At 39.2% G+C, this 17,572-nt stretch overlaps 1 protein-coding gene across 6 annotated transcripts in view; it reads left to right on the forward strand.

The window, feature by feature from the left end:
• The window catches only part of MTA3 (metastasis associated 1 family member 3), a 262,837-nt gene that overhangs the window by 186,967 nt on the left and 58,298 nt on the right, over positions 1-17,572 (forward strand). For 5 of the 6 annotated variants that reach the window (NM_001282755.2, NM_001282756.2, NM_001330442.2 and 2 more), the window contains 3 exons: positions 1,325-1,513; positions 14,689-14,763; positions 16,700-16,758. In NM_001282755.2, the coding sequence (NP_001269684.1) occupies positions 1,325-1,513; positions 14,689-14,763; positions 16,700-16,758 (323 nt within the window). The remainder of the gene's footprint in view (positions 1-1,324; positions 1,514-14,688; positions 14,764-16,699; positions 16,759-17,572) is intronic. The other variant, NM_001330444.2, reaches the window with a different exon arrangement.

Genomic DNA, 17,572 nt, shown 5'->3' on the forward strand with positions numbered 1-17,572 from the left:
TTTGCAGAAGTAACCTCGGGCCCAGGAGTTCAACGTTATGGTGCTTGTGTGTTCTAATCTATCTTTTCTCCTTTCAAATTGTGCTTCAAATCACTTTCCCTTGAAATATATAAGAAAACCACAGTGGCCTTGCTGTTCCAAGCAAACCTGGCCATCTATTCTTTGTCTTCTACAATCTCAACCAAGTTACCATATTAAGATGAATATGTAATTTTGTTTTGTTTTGCTTTTTCTGTGCAGCATGTTTATAATTTTGTCTTAAATATCATACTCTGCTCCATTGTTTTCTTTCTGTCTTAGTACATGATTCCTCAACCCAATCTGAGAAGATTTTTTTCTCACTCTCTGATACATAATCTGTATATTTTTCCCTGGTCAAGAATGGCTGTGCTGTGTATCTTGCACAAGAGCTGAAGTGACTTTGATATTTTTATTATTTTAATTTTTATTTTTTGAGATAGGCTGTCACTCTGTTATCCAGGCTGGAGTGCAGTGGCACAGTCACAGCTGACTGCAGCCTCAACCTCCTGGGCTCAAGCATTCCTCCCACCCCAGCCTCCCAAGTAGTTGGGACTGTAGGCATGCACAACCAGGCCCAGCTAATTTTTTATTTTTGCAGAGACAGGTCTCACTATGTTGCCCACACTGGTCTTAAAACTCCTGGGCTCAAGTGTTCCTCCCACCTTGGCTTCTCAAAGCGCTGGGATTACAGGCATGAGCCACGATGTGTGGCCTGGCTAGACTTTCAGGGTTACAGTGAGCTATGACCATGCCACAGCACTCCAGCATGGGTAACAGAGCAAGAGCCTATCTCAAAAAAAGAAAGAAAAAAAAAAGGTAAATAAATAAAAAAAAATAAAAATAAAGGAGACCTAATCCTAGTGCTTTGGGAGGCTATAGTGGGAGGATCAGTTGAGCCCAGGAGTTCGAGACCAGCCTGGGCAACATAGCGAGACCCCCATCTCTACATAAAATAAAAAAACTAGTCAGTCATAGTGGCGTATACCTGTGGTCCTAGTTACTCAGGAGGCTGAGGCAGGAGGATTGCTTGAGCCCAGAAGGTTGAGGCTGCTGCTGCACTCTAGCCTGGGAATAGAGGGATACCCTGTGCTCCCCTCCCCCCAAATAAGGGTACAAGTCAGCATTTTCTAAAGCAATAAATGATATCTTAAATAATTATTTAGTAATCTGTTTAAAATTTTGTTAAAAAATAAATAAGTATATTGTTAATTAAGTACATCATATATTTTAGTGTTTATATTCTTACATAATGTAGCATGTTTGCATTTCTGGTTGATATTTTCTGTTCATTTTGTTTCTTTAGTTTCACGCTATGGATACATTGTATAGACACAGCTATGATTTGAGCAGTGCCATTAGTGTCTTAGTACCACTCGGAGGACCTGTTTTATGCAGAGATGAAATGGAGGAATGGTCAGCCTCTGAAGCTAGCTTATTTGAAGAGGCACTGGAAAAATATGGCAAAGACTTCAATGACATACGGCAAGATTTTGTAAGTAGAAAATTATGAGTAAAATAAAATGTTGAGATGGGAATATTCTGTTTTAGAAATCTGGTAAACCTTACAGTATTCATTTAGCAAGTTTGTGAGTTAATAGTTTTTATCTGCTCAAAGTAAAATGAAGGTTAGTCTTGTAAAGGGAGAAACTGATAATTGTTTGGAGGAGTAGTTGTAGTAAGACCCACGCTATCAGGCCGGGTACGGTGGCTCACGTCTGTAATTCCAGGACTTTGGGAGGCCGAGGTGGGTGAATCACAAGGTCAGGAGTTCGAGACCAGCCTGGCCAATGTGGTGAAACCCCATCTCTACTGAAAATATAAAAAACTCGCTGGGCGTGGTGGCACGTGCCTGTAGCCCGAGCTACTGAAGAGGCTGAGAAAGGAGAATCTCTTGAACCCGGAGGTGGAGGTTTCAGTGAGCCGAGATGGCACCACTGCACTGCAGCCTGGGCAACAGAGCAAGACTTGGTGTCAAAAACAAAACAAAACAAAAAAACCCCTACACTATCAGGAAGTCCTGTGTTTTTGGTGTAAACCTTGGCAATATTAATTTATCCTATTTACTTCTCTCTGAGTTCCAAGTTAAAATCTGGTCAGCTTTTCTCACCATTTGCGCTAAACAGTCTGATCTCTGCTTTTAGACTAGTTGCTCTGCTTTAAGCTTTCTGTATTTTTCTAGTTGTCTTACTAATTGTTGAGCCTGAATTTGATCTGGACCCTTAATGAAATGACCTCTGCTAAGCACAGTAGGAGAATTTGTTTTATGGGCTTTTGATCTTTGATTCTTCTTAATGATGTAGAGGAGTGGTCCCCAACCTTTTTGGCACCAAGGACCAGTTTTGTGGAAGACAGTTTTTCCATGGACTGGGGGTGGAAGGAGGTTTCAGGATGATTCAGGTGCATTACGTTTATTGTGCACTTCATTTCTATTATGATTACATTGTCATATATAATAATTATACGACTCACCATAATGGAGAATCAGTGAGACCTCTGAGCTTGTTTTTCTGCAACTAGACAGTCCCATCTGGGGGTAATGGGAGATAGTGATAGATCATTAGGCATTAGATTCTCATAAGAAGTACGCTACCTAGATCCCTCGCATGCACAGTTCACAATAGGGTTCATGCTCCCGTGAGAATCTAATGCCGCTGCTGATCTGACGGGGCAGACCTCAGGGGGCAGTGGGAGTAATGGGGAGTGGCTGTAAATACAGATGAAGCTTCGCTCGCTTGTCCATTCAACACCTGCTGTGCAGCCCAGTTCCTAACCAGTCCATGACCTGGGGGTTGGGGACCCCTGAGTATCCTATGTATATTTTTTATTATTAAAAATTTTTTTTTCCTCAGCTTTACTGAGGTATAATTGACAAGTAGAAAATACATATTTTCAAGGTATACAATATGATGATTTGATATACATATACATTGTGAAATGATTACCACAATTAACACATTCATCACCTCACTTACTTACCCCATGCAGTGGGGTAAATACCAGGTCATCTTGTCTAACTATAGTATGTACTTTGTTTTGTCTTTGTGTTTATGGACTTACTGTCTTTAGTTAAACTTATAGTTCCTTTGAAATGGTGAAATTTCCATTTGAGATTTTCATAAATAGCTTTCTATGAAGTCATCCTTTATTTTAAATTATGAAAATAGAATCTTTATAGACCATTACGTATTTGATGTGAGCCAATAGCCTGCCTTTTATGTTGCTGCATCTTTACTGAATTGTTTGACACAAAGTTATTACTTACCAATATGGGCTGATAAATTAAATCCCAGACATAGTAATTAAAACTGTTAGTGTCACTGATAATTTGTTCTTCTGGCAAAACTTCACTCATACTTAAATTGTTACATGCCATGATTTAAATTTGTAGGATGCGCAGCTGAAAATTTAAAGTGCATTGGTATTTAGCTTCAGATGGTCAGAATAACAATAGAGCAGTGTTATTAATATAACAGTTATTAAAATAATAGAGCTACAGCTACATAGAAATTGCAAAGAATGAAACCTAACAAATCAAATCTACACTGTGAGGCTCAATGAAAATTCAAAAAAGATAAATAAAACCTGCAGATCTGATAAAGGAGTAGGAGTTGAGAAACACTAAAGTGAAAATACTTTTCCCTGCACCAAATGTAATACCTCATTCTGTGCTCTGGTGGTATTTACTGAGTACCTGTAACATGCCAGGCTTGCAAAAAGGCACTAGGCATGCAACAAAAATTGAATGTGGTCCTTACTTCAAGGAATTAGTTCACAGTTAAAATCAAGAGATTGAAATATACACCCAAGTAAAATATAATTAATTACTTCTGTCAGTACATGAACAAGTGTATAGGAATATTAAAAAGGATTCCTTGTGCCAAAGTGGAAGAGGCTTCATGGAGTTAACTGGCATTTTAGCTGGGTCTCTAATAGGTAAAGAGAGAAAAGAGCAGATAGCAAGGTAAACACTGAGGTGTGAAACTTACAGCACTCCTAGGCACTTAACACAGGACTAGAAGATAACTCTGTGAACTGTAGGTTAGTGCAATATACTTGGACATAGAGGCTGGCATCAGTATCAGATAAAATTAACTATGAAAATGAGTATAACAGTAATAATACTGTTAGATGATTTTTTTGTTGTCTTTGTGGTCTAACAAAATTACAGATTTGTAGCATGGTATATATTAGTTTTTCTTTTGTTTTACCCTAGCTTGTTTCAATAGAGAGCTTATTGAAACATTAAGTACTAGGGAAGATGAAGAAATAGACATCAGATCGGGCCTCCAAGATTGTGACTTTGAAAGTCACACTTCAGAATGGGCCAGCTAAGGATACTGCCGTCCCTGCTGTGATTAGAAACCTAACTGCTGAAGTAGGAAGCTAACACTCTACCTGTGGCTCCAACGTGCTGTCTCTCCCTTGAACCCCACCGGCAGGGTGCCTTTAGTACGAAATCCATCTCTCTTGCCAGTGCATCTATGATGCAACCTAAATTATACCCAGAATCTTAGATGCAAGGGAGTCTGGGAAATGTGGATCTTAACCCTGCAGACTGCCCCTTAGGTCATGGTTGTTGAAGGGCCAGTCTTGAAGGGCCAGTCCATATTAGATTTGTTGTATTTTGGAGACTGGAATTGGCTACTTGTGTCAAACCCTTAAAATAAACAGGATAGAATGTCAGAGTGTTAACTGCTCAAAGGGTTTTGTGTTTTTTGTGGTAGTTGTTGTTTTTAAATTATCATCCCCTCTTTCCCTCCATACTTATAAAAGTAATGTATAAACCTAGTAGAAAATAAAATGCAAATAATGTTATTTCCTATAATGCCATCACAGGTACATGATGTTGTTGGGGCAATGTATTTCTTATGACATGAAGTTTTAAGAAGTGTCCTTTTAGAAACTGTCAGGTAGTGTATGCAACAAAAAGTCTCCTGGGCCTCCTCTGCTTAAATACTAGACCTTTACCTGAGCACTGAGCAACTGTGTCATAATGGTGAGTTTTTTAAAGTGGTTTCATCCCACTACCCAAAAGTGATCATTGATTATTTTCTGCTTCCAGTGTCTTAGTTTTCCCAAGTGAATGCATATATTATTGTGTGTTTGTACATTTAAGAACAAATTGTGTAGAAGGCACATATTTGGGTATAGATATTTTTATATTTAGTGGTTAGCGATAGCTTTATTCCGAAGCTTAATTTAACTTATTTCAAAATTTATACACAGTAAAATTCACTCCTTTACAGTTTTTTACAGTTAAAGTTCTGTGAGTTTTTATAAATGCATACTCCCATAATCATCACCACAGGCTGGGTGTGGTGGGTCACACCTGAAATCTCAGCACTTTGGGAGTCCGAGGCAGGAGGATCACTTGAGCCCAGGAGTTTAAGACCAGCCTGGGCAACATAGTAGACTCTGCCTCTTAAAAAAAAAAAAGAAAGAACAGTCTGGGCATGGTGGCTCATGCCTGTAATCCCAACACTTTGGGAGGCCGAGGCGGGCGGATCACTTGAGGTCATGAGTTCGATACCAGCCTGGCCAACATGGTGAAACCCTGTGTCTACTAAAAATACAAAACAATTAGCTGGGCATGCTAGTGCAGGCCTGTAATGCCAGTTACTCGATAGACTGAGGCAGGAGAATCGCTGGAACCCAGGAAGTGAAGGTTGCAGTGAGCTGAGATCACGCCACTGCACTCCAGCCTGGGTGATGGAGCAAGACTTCATCTCAAAAAAAAAGGGCTGGGCATTGTGGCTCACACTTGTAATCCAAGCACTTAGGGAGGCTGAGATGGGCAGATCACTTGAGGCCAGGAGTTTGAGACCAGGCTGGCCAATATGGTGAAACCCCATCTCTACAAAAAAAAAAAAAATACAAAAATTAGCTGGGCCTGGTGGCACATGCCTATAATACCAGCTACTCAGGAGGCTGAGGCATGAGAATTGCTTGAACCCAGGAGGCAGAGGTTGCAGTGAGCTGAGATCGCGCCACTGCACTCTAGCCTAGGTGTTAGAATGAGACTCTGTCTCCACAAACAAACAAAACTCATCACCACAATCAAGACACAGTACAGTTTCATCACCTCTCCCGTCAAGTCTCCCCTTTTATAGTCAACAATACCCTAGCCCTAATCCTGGCAACCACTGATTTATGCTCCATCCCTATAGTTTTGCCTTTTTCTGAACACTGTGTAAGTAGAATCGTTTAGTAGTATGTAACTTTTTAATTTTGGTTTCTTTTACTTAACATAATGCATCTGGTATTCATCAGTGTTGCTGCATATATCAGTCGTTCATTTTCACTGCCTAGTAGTACTATTCCATTGTGTGAATGTACCACAATCAGTTTATTCATTCACCTGTTGAAGGGAATTTGAATTGTTTCTGATTTTTGATGATTATGGATAAAGTTGCTATAAACATTTTGCATGCTAGTTTTAGTGAACTTAAGTTTTTGTTTCTCTTGGGAAATATGAGCCGTGGGGTTGCTGGGTCTTACATGATAACTATATGTTTAACTTTATAAGAAACTACCTTTGTTAGCTTTATAACATATCAGTGTAGCCAGACTGAACCACATTTTCCAGAATTCCCTTCCCGGTATGTTGCCCTTTAGGGTGGGCCATGAGAAATTCTAGTGCAGGATTTGGAGAGCAGAAATGAAGCACCAGCCATTTTTGTAGCTCATATGTGTTCTCATTTATCTGCTGGCCCAGTTTGTTGGCATGAGGCAATGCTGGGACTGCAGTTGCTCTATTTTCCCTAGGATCCCCCTTCTTCATCTCTGACTCCAGGGCAAGGTGTGTGTTTGTGTGTTTAGCACCATGAAGAAAGCCTTAGTTTCTGCAGAACATGCATACCATCAGGGTCAAAGGCAGTCGCTACTGACAAGGGTTTTTCCCATCCTTGTAGGCTCCAGCTCATGCTGTCGTATTTTGCTAGTTTGAATGCAAATTGATACAGCCACTTGGGAAAACAGTTCGCTTATCAGTCAGGATTCAGTTAGAAAAACAGGACCACTAAAACAGGTGTGGCATGATCATAGCTCACTGCAGCCTCAAACTCCTGGGCCCAGGTGATCCTCCTGGCTTCAGCCTTGCACATAACTGGGACTACAGGCATGTTGTGCCACCATGTCTGGCTAACTTTCTTTTAATTATTATTTTTTGTATAGATGCAGTCTCACCATGCTACCCAGGCTGGTCTCCAACTCCTGGGCTCAAATGATGCTCTTGCCTTGACCTCCCAAGTTGCTGGGATTATAGGCGTGAGCCACTGCACCTGACACATTATTGTCATTTTTTAAAAAAGCCATTATAATAGGTTTGTAGTAGCATTTCATTTCGGTTTTAATTTGCATTTTCCCTGAAGACTAATGATAAGCCTCTTTTCATGTGTTTCATTGCCCATCATATGTCCTTGATGTGAAATGTTTTTCAAAATCTTCTGCCTATTTTAAAAGTGGGCTTCTTTTGTTTGTTGATTTTGAGAGTTTGTTATGTATTTTGCATTCAAGTGTTTTTTTTTTTTTTTTGTAACATTCTCTCCTAATCTGCAGCTTTTATATATCCTCCTTGTACTCTGCAGCCTTGTGAATCTCTTGCAGTAGTTATAGTCGGTTTTTTTGGTAGATTCTTTCTACATAGACAGTCATGCTGTCTGCACATAAAGGGCAGTTTTTGTTTTTATTTCCCATCTGAATGCCTTTTATTTTTATTTATTTATTTATTTTTGCCTTATTGCACTGGCTAGTATTTCCAATACAGTGTTCAAAAGAAGTGATAAGAGCAACATCCTTTTCTTGTTCCTGTTCTTAGGGGAAATTCATTCATTTTTTTACTATTACATGTGAGATCAACTGTAATTTGTTTTGTTTTTGTATGTATCTTTTAATGACGAGCAAGTTCCTCTCTATTCTTATTTTTTGAGAGTTTTTAAAAAAATCATGAATGATGTTGAATTTTGTAAGATGTGTTTTATGCATCAGTTGTGATTATGGAATGTTTATCTCTTTGTCTTTTGATATGGTGAATAACATTGATTAATTTATGATTGTTGAAAACAACCAGTGTACCTGGCTATCAATTCCACTTGGTCATGAGGTTTGTTTTAATACAGTGCTGAATTTGATTTCCCAGTATTTTGTTAAGGATGTTTGCATCTGTGTTTTTGAAATTTATCTTTTTAAATTGATAAACTAAGACTTAATATACATTTATTGTGTGGAACATGTTGTTTTGAATCTATGTTAATGATTAATACAGATCTTTTGATTTCCTTGTAATATTTTTGGTTTTATTTCAGGCTAATGATGGCTACTTAGAATGAGTTGGGAAGTATTCTCTTTTCTGTTTTCTGGAACTGTTTGTGTAGACTTATTCCTTACATGTTTGGTTGAGTTCACTAGTGAAGTCATCTCTTTTTGGAAGGTTTTAAAACTGTGAAGTCATTTTGTTTAATAGATACAGGTCTTTTATTGTTACCTCTTTCTTCTTGAGTGAGTTTGGTAGTTTGTCTTCCAAAGGATTTGTCCCTTTTATCTTAAGTTGTCTAGTTTACTATTATAAAGATGTTTATAATAGGAGTTTAGAATTTTCTCATGTTATCCTTTTATGGTCTGTAGCATGGATCTGTATTTACATCTACTCTCTCGTTCCTGATACTGATAATTTGTGTCTTTTTTTTTTTTTCTTTTTTCTTGATCAGTCTGGCTAGGAGTTTATCAGTGTTGTTGAACTTTGCAAAAAAAAAAAAAATCCAGCTTTTGGTTTGATTGACTTTGCTCTATTTTCTGTTTCAGTGATTTCTGCTTGTGTCTTTATTACTTCTTTCCTTTACATTGCTTTGGACTTAATTGCTTTTTTTTTTTCCTAGTATCTTCTTATTGATTGAAGCTTAGGGCTACAGATGTGGTAACACACCCTGTAGTCCCAGCTACTTGGGAGCTTGGGAAACTGAAGCGAGAGGATCACTTGAGCCTGGGATTTTGAGGCTGCAGCATGCTATGACCATGCCTGTGAATGAATAGCTACTGCACTCCAGCCTGGGCAGCATAGCATTACACTATCTCAGTTAACCAAACAAACAAAAAGATTGAAGCGTGCATCATTAATTTGAAATCTTTCTTCCAATATAAGCACTTAATGGCAGTACAACGATGAATTCAGCTTTGCTTGAAAAACTCTGCTATTACTTAAAACATATTTCATTTTTTATGTAATTCACTTTTATCCTTTTCTTTTTCAGTACTGTAAAGCTGTCTCTTTATCTGATGTACCTAGTTTCTGATGAGAAGTTCCTATGATGTGATGTTTCTTTTTCTTTGTTTTCAAAATTTTCTGTCTACTTTTGGTTTTTAGCATTTTTACTTCCACAGTGTGACTGAGTATGTTCTTCTTTGTAATTATTCTATTTGTAATTCTCTGAGCATCCTAGAGCTGTTTTTTTGTTTTCCATTAATTTTGAGTAATTCTTAGCCATTTTCTTTTTAAACATTTTTTTCTTTTTTTAATTTTTATTTTTAGATTTTTCAGGTTCATAGTAGGTGTATATAATTATGGGGTACATGAAATTTTTTAATTTAATTTTTTTTTTTTTTTTGGAGACAGAGTCTCTATCACCAGGCTGGAGTGCAGTGGCGCAATCTTGGCTCACTGTAGCTTCCGCCTGCCAGGTTCAAGTGATACTTCTGCCTCAGCCTCCCGAGTAGCTGGGACTACAGGCACACGCCACCAACCCCAGCTAATTTTTGTATTTTTATTTTATTTATTTATTTATTTATTTATTTATTTATTTATTGAGACAAAGTCTCACTCTGTTGCCCAAGCTAGAGTGCAGTGGCGCGATCTCTGCTTACTGCAACCTCCACCTCCCAGGTTCAAGTGATTCTCCTGCCTCAGCCTCCCAAGTAGCTGGGACTACAGGTACACACCACCATGCCCAGCTAATTTTCTTATTTTCAGTAGAAATGGGGTTTCACTATGTTGGCCAGGCTGGTCTTGAACTCCTGGCCTCAAGCAATCCGCCCGCCTCGGCCTCCCAAAGTGTTGAGATTACAGGCGCATGCCACCAGCCCCAGCTAATTTTTGTATTTTTAATAGAGACGGGGTTTCACCATGTTGGCCAGGATGGGCTCAATCTCCTGACCTTGTGATCTGCCTGCCTCAGCCTCCCAAAGTGCTAGGATTACAGGCGTGAGCCACCACACCGCGGCCTATGAAATACTTTGATACAGGCATGCAATATGTAGTAATCACCTCTTAGAACATCGTACACACACACACACACATCCCCCCCTAAAACTTAATAATTAGAAAACTGCATTTTAACTTCATTCCCCTTTTTAACTTTTTGTTGATTCTGTGTCTTATTGTACTATGTTTTGGAAAGTTGTAGTTATTTTTTTTTATTAGTTCATCATTTAGGCTTTGTGCTTAAGACAAGTGTAGTTTACATACCACAATTACAGTGTTATAATACTCAATGTGTTCTTCTGTGTACTTACTATTACCAGCAGGTTTTGTACCTTCAGATGATTTCCTCTTGCTCACCAACATCTATTTTTTTCTGATTAAAGAACTCCCTTTAGCACTTCTTATTGGACAGGTCTAGTGTTGATGAAATCCTTCAGCTTTTGTTTGTCAGCAAGTCTTTATTTCTCCATCACGTTTGAAGGACATTTTCACTGGATATACTATTCTTGGGTAAAGGTCTTTTCCTTCAGCACTTTAAATATGTCGTGCCACTCTCTCCTGGCCTGTAAGGTTTCCATTGAGAAGTCTGCTGCCAAACGTATTGGAACTCCATTATAAGTTATTTGTTTTTGCTCTCGTTGCTTTTGAGGTTCTTTCTTTATCTTTGACCTTTGGGAGTTTGATTATAACCTTATTGAATATCGATGTTAATATTTTTCTCCAGGTTTGGGAAATTCCCTAATATTATCCCTTTGAATAATCTTCCTGCCCCTCTTTCTCTACCTCTTCTTTAAGGCCAATAACTCTTAGATTTGCTCTTTCAAGGCTATTTTCTAGATCCTATAAGCAGGCTTCATTGGTTTTATTCTTTGCTTTTTTCTCTCCTCTGACTGGGTGTTTTTCAAATAGCCTGTCTTCAGGCTCAATAATTCTTCCTTCTGCTTAATTAGTTCCACTATTAAGTGACTCTGATGCATTTTTTCAGCATGTTAATTGCATTTTCAACTCTAGAATTTCTGCTTGATTCTTTTTATTTCAGTCTCTGTTAAATTTATCTGACAGAATTCTGAATTCCTTCTGTCTGTCATCTTGAATTTCTTTGAGTTTCCTCAAAACAGCTATCTTGAATTCTTTTTTTTTTTTTTTTTCTTTTGAGACAGAGTCTTGTTCCGTCACCCAGGCTGGAGTGCAATGGCGTGATCTCGGCTCACTGTAACCTCCACCTCCCGGGTTCAAGCAATTCTCGTGCCTCAGCCTCCCAAGTAGCTGCAATTACAGACATGCATCACTATGCCTGGCTAATTTTTTAGTATTTTTAGTAGATACAGGGTTTCACCACGTTGGCCAGGCTAGTCTCGAACTCCTGGCCTTACGTGATCCTCCTGCCACAGCCTCCCAAAGCGCTGGGATTACAGGCATGAGCCACTGTGCCCAGCCAGCTATTTTGAATTCTCTGTCTGAAAGGTCACATGTCTCTGTTTGTCCAGCATTGGTCCCTCCTGACTTACTTACTTTGTTTGGTGAGGTCATATTTTCCTGGATGATGCTTGTAGATGTTCGTTAGTGTCTGAGCATTGAAGAGTTAGGTATTTACTGTAGTCTTCACAGTCTGGGCTTGTTTGTGTCCGTCCTTCTTGAAAAGGCTTTCTAAAGGACTTGGGCCTCAAGCCCAATATCACTGTGGTTTTTGCAGACTCAAAGTACTCCCTTGGTAGTCTCAGATTAGATCTGGAATTCTCTGGATTACCAGACAGACTCTTGTTCTTTTCCCTTTCTCTCAAAGAAACAGTGTCTCTCCCTCTCCCTCTCCCTCTTCCCCTCCCCCTCCTTCCTTCTCTCCCCACACCCCGTCCCTTGAGCTACCTGGAACTGGGGTGTGGTGACACAAGCACTCTTGTGGCTACCACCACTGGGGCTGTGCTGGGTCATGCCTGTCGTAACTGCTCACTTGCTACCACCTATGCTCACTCAAGGCCCTAGGGCTCCACAATCAGCAGGTGGCAAAGTGAGACAGGTTTGTGTCCTTCCCTTCAGGGTAGTGAGTTCCTCCAGGCCCTGGTGAGTCCAGAGATGCTGTCTGAGAACCAGGGATTGGAGTCAAAAACCTTAGAAATTTGCCTGATGTTCTATTCTGCTGTGACTAAGCTGAGACTCAAACCACAATATAAAATCCTTCCTGCTTTTCCTTCCCCTTTCCACAGGCAGAGGGGCCTCCCTGTGGACACCAACACCCAGCCACTATTGGGGGTGGGGGTAGTTCTGCCAGGCCACCTCCAATGTACACTTAAAGCCCATGGGCTCTTCATTTTAGTCAGCTGGTGGGGAATGCTGTCCGGCCTGGGATCACCCTTCAGGGCACTGGGCTCCCCTCTGGCCCAAGGCAGGTCCAGAAATTCTGTTCAGGAACTGAGGCCTGAACCTGGGGACCCCAAAAGCCTGCTTATTCCTCCACCCCACTGTGGCTGAGCAGTAACTAAGGTGCAAAACAACAACATCCCTTTACTTTTCCATCTTTTTAAACAGAAGAAGCCTTTCACCATAGCCACCTATAGCTGGGAATGTGCTTGGGAATGTGCTGGGTCACACTGTAGTCAGCACATCTCAGAGCCCAAGGCCCATGGTGTACTACTACCCAGGCATTGCTGCTGGTTACTCGGGGCCCATGGGCTCTTTAGTCAGCAGCTGATGAATCTTGCAGGGACTGGGTCCTTCCTTTAAGGCAGCAGGTTCTGTTTTGTCCAGATGGTGTCTAGAAATGTGTATAGGAGCTAGGGCCTGGAATGGGGGCCTCACGACTCTGCCTGGTGCCCTGTCCTACTGTGGCTGAGCAGGTATCCAAGATGCAAGACAAAGTCCTCTTTACTCTTCACTTTCCATCCCTTAAGCAGAAGGAAGGAGACATTTTTGCCCCTGAGCTGTACTGCCTAGGTTTGGGAGAGGGGTGGTGCAATCACTCCTTTAGCCACCCTGGGTGTCTCCCTAGGTCACATGCCACCCGAAGTCCTCTGGCTCTGAGTCCAGCCCAGCACTAGGAGTTGTTTAGGAGTTGAAGTCCTTGTGTACCTAGGCTGTCTTCTAAGTTTACGTAGGTCCTCAGAGCACTTCAGCCCATGGTCATGAGGCTTGTTGAGAAACTCAAGTTCCAACCGATAGGATAGGTGATTACCCTCTGGCTAGGTCTGGTACAGATTCTCCCTCCCTACACAGGTACTGGCTGACCCCAGCATGGATTTATTCTCTGCTGTCACAGGGCAGCACTAAGTTCAATGTAAAGTCCCCTGGTCACTGTGATGTTCTTCCTCCATATGCACAGACTCTGGCACTGCAAGGCCTCTGCCAGGGGATGGGAGAGGGGTGGCATCAGCGATTCAAGACGAGACTGTCTCTCCTGTCTTCCTCAATGCCTCTTTCAAGGATTTGCAGAGACCAGATGACACACAGTCATAGCTGCCATCTTTGGAAGCTGAAATAACTCAGGCTAGAGCTGTTTAAATGCCGTTTCTAAAATAGTGCTGCAGCCCCACCTGTAGCTTGAGAACTTTCCCAAGTAAGTCATGAAATGTTATCAGGGCTGGTCACGGTGGCTCATCTGTGATCCTAGGACTTTGGGAGGCTGAGGTGGAAGGATTCCTTGAACCTAGTTGTTCAAGACCAGCCTGGGCAACATAGGGAGACCCCAACTCTACAAAAAATAAAAAAGAATTAGCCGGGCATGGTGTCACACCTATAGTCCCAGCTGAGGAGGCTGAGGCAGGAGGATCACTAGAGCCTGGGAGGTTGAGACTGCAGTGAGCTGTGATCATGCCACTGCACTGCAGCCTGGGTGACCCTGTCTCTTAAATAAAAAGAGAAAGAAATGTTATCAGTTATGATGTTTATAATTTTTAGTAAAATGTATAAACGGAATGAGAAATGGAATGTGTTGTATTCACATTCCATACTGAATATGACTTGTTTGGGGTACCGTTTGCTAAGGATTAATTTTAAATTTCTCAAATATTCTAGAATGAATCTTCCATGTGGATATTTGCTTCATTATTTTAATAAAGAAGTGGTTTTTAAGGGCCAGGTGTGACGGCTCGCACCTGTAATCTCAGCACTTTGGGAGGCCGAGGCGGGCAGATCACCTGAGGTTAGGAGTTCGAGACCAGCCTAACCAACATGGTGAAACCTTGTCTCTACTAAAAATACAAAAAATTAGCTGGGCATGGTGGCATGTGCTTCTAATCCCAGCTGCTTGGGAGGCTAGGCAGAAGAATTGCCTGAACCCAGGAAGCGGAGGTTGCTGTGAGCTGACATCGCGCCACTGCACTTCAGCCTGGGCAACAAAGTGACAGTCTATCTCAAAAAAAAAAAAAAAAAAAAAAAAAAAGAAAGTGGTGGTTTTTAAGGAAAGTACTTTCTATAGTAGCTTATTTTCATCTCATTTTATTATATGTTAACATAGATGATAGGTTGATTTTTTTTTTTTTCAGCTTCCTTGGAAATCATTGACTAGCATCATTGAATATTATTACATGTGGAAAACTACTGACAGATATGTGCAACAGGTAATTTTTTTCATATTGCTACCAATATGGTTGCATTTAAGTGAACTTTCTGTTTATATTTTAATATTTTTTGGCGATGTACTACTTTTAAATTTGTTTACCTTACTTTTTCCAGACTACTTTAAACTACATGATTTCATATCTTTAGGATATTATTTAAGATTTTAATCTTAATATTTCCTTGACTTCGCATGAATTATGATAAATATTTTGGAGAGATACCACTAGAGAGGCATTATTTTCCTTGCATTTGACTGATCCTTCATCTCTTTGTAGTTCATGGCAATGATCAAAGATGTGATGCTAACACAAACCTCTTGAACAAGTTATTTTTATGAAGAATTGAGTATTTAGACCAATGTCATCAGCCATATAATTTGATATGTTTTTAAAGATCTTCTGAAACCTCTTTACATGACATTTGTGTGGCTATACCCCCGAAATCCTTGACCTTAAATGTAGTAGTCTTACTAGTATGGTGTTTTTGTACTGTACATAAGCTTTTTCTTAAATGTAATTTTTGAGTCCTTCTCAAATATCCTAAATTCAGGTAACTCTCAATTACTTATTTTTTGAATAATATTACCTCTGGGGAAAGGCACATTTTCCTGAAATGACATCGGTCAATACTTGTGTTATGTTTGTATAGGCACATATTAGAACTGATAAAAAGGCAAATATATTTAACACAGACATTATTTTTCCTATATATGTAGGTTATACAGTGGCAAGTATTAGATGCTATAAAAAAATTTTATGAATCACTTTTTAAAGTATCATAGTGAGCTGGGTATGGTGGTGTGCACCTATATTCCCAGCATTTTGGGAGGCCGAGGCAGGAGGATTGCTCAGCCCAGGAGTTCATGTCCAGCCTGGGCAACATAACAAGACCCTGTCTCTAAAAATAAATAAAAATTGAAAACAAAAAGTACCATGGTGAATTGCTGAGGTCACAAATAGTGAATAGATACTCATGGCTTGTTGAAAAATTTCCAGTGTCAATATTAATATAATTCAAAAAGTGCTTATTATAAACAACTTAGGTATAGATCAAGACCATGTAGTCTGGGAACCTATTTTATTAAAAAAGAGTCTCTAAAGATGGAGATGATGGTATCAAGGATGGTTGAAAAGTAGATAATATTCTTTCCAAAAACTTCAACCCTGTTCTAAAAGTTTCAAGTTGTCCCCCTAAGTATTTCTGTTTTCTCCTCATTGGGAAAATAGAAGATAGCCTTATATTCTGGTTTGTCTTATTTTTGGACATCAACCATATGTTATTTTACTTCTCTATTTGCCTGCATTATCATGTTGGTCAGTGTCTGGATTTGATTATATAATCTCCTTCCCCTTCCTTTCCCTACATATGGCTCCTAATTGGTTCCAGTAGAATATTATGTGAATTCAGCTGAGGTTTAAAGTTTAATGCATATCTCCCAACATTTGAGAATAAATGCTTATTTAGTTCTACTTAGAATAGCCACAGTCACTCCTCTTGCCTGGATTTTGGAAATAAATAATCTCTGAATATTTTTCTAAAAGCAGAGAGAGAGAGAGAGAGTGAGAGTGTGTGTGTTTTCTTCTAGAGAGGCAAATAAGTAATAAAGTAGAAACTAAATTTGGAAAGTAAAAATGGTTACTTTTTAAAGGTCCTGTTTATTCAGTCATAGAGGAATGGAAAATGGAGTTGCTCATTGCTTTATTTTTTTAAACCTATGCCTAAAATTGTATTAATACTTAAAGTTGTGTACCACAGAATCTAGTGACTTTTCTTAGACATTATTGCAGTTTAAGAATATGCATATGAAAGAAAAGCTTAAGATGGTAATTTTTGAATTACACTTTAATACGTATTTTCTTGTGAATTTTTAAGACAATGAACAGTAGTAATAATTAGGCATTGCATGTAAAATGTTTTATTCATCTTTTGAATTAGAAACGTCTAAAAGCAGCAGAAGCTGAGAGTAAACTGAAACAAGTATATATCCCAACCTAGTAAGTAATTGAAATCTTTTAAAATATTTGTTTTGGTCTTAATTTTATCATTGCAGAATATGTCATTTTGTTCAGTTTCAGCAAAATTTGAACTTTTGTGTATCTTTCTTCTTCTACAAAGCATGAGACTTACTATTATACCACTACAATAAAAAGGAGCCAGTGAGAGAAACCTCAAATAGACTAACCTGAAGACTAGAGGAAGAAATGTACTATGTACTATACTTTTATTAAATCAAAGCTGCAGGGAAAGCGTCAGAAAACCTATGAAATGCTGTATTATTTGAAGCAAATGTGTTTCAGAAAGCTAGCAGCTTTTCAAACTATAGATTTTGTTTGGGTAATGCATACTGCTCTTTGGAGGTTTGTTGTTTATTTGGTTGAGGATTTTACATTGTTTTCTTGGTTCCAATGGCAATTAGAACCATATTTGGTAAATGTGTGATAAATAATGGAGAGGTTTTGATTATTTTGTTTGTCTAGTGTTCTATCATTATTATCCTTTGAATTCAGAAATCATTGTCATCTCAAAATGAATGCCAATTTTTTTTTTTTTTCCATTTGCTTTGTTTTAAATGAGGCTGAGCATGGTAGTTCACGCCTATAATCCCAGCACTTTGGGGAACCTCGTTTCTGCAAAAAATTTAAAAGAAATATAAGGTACTATATCCTTTTGTTGAGATTTTCAGAGTTTGCTTATTCATTTGTTCAGGAAGAATTGGTTTATTAAGCACCACGTGTATATTGTTCTATCCTAGTTTCTTTTAGGATTAAAATGAAATTTATTGCAGAGTTCTGTGTGCTGCTCTAAGCC

The sequence above is a fragment of the Homo sapiens genome, chromosome 2 (genome assembly GCF_000001405.40).
Source record: "Homo sapiens chromosome 2, GRCh38.p14 Primary Assembly".
Taxonomy (NCBI): domain Eukaryota; kingdom Metazoa; phylum Chordata; class Mammalia; order Primates; family Hominidae; genus Homo; species Homo sapiens.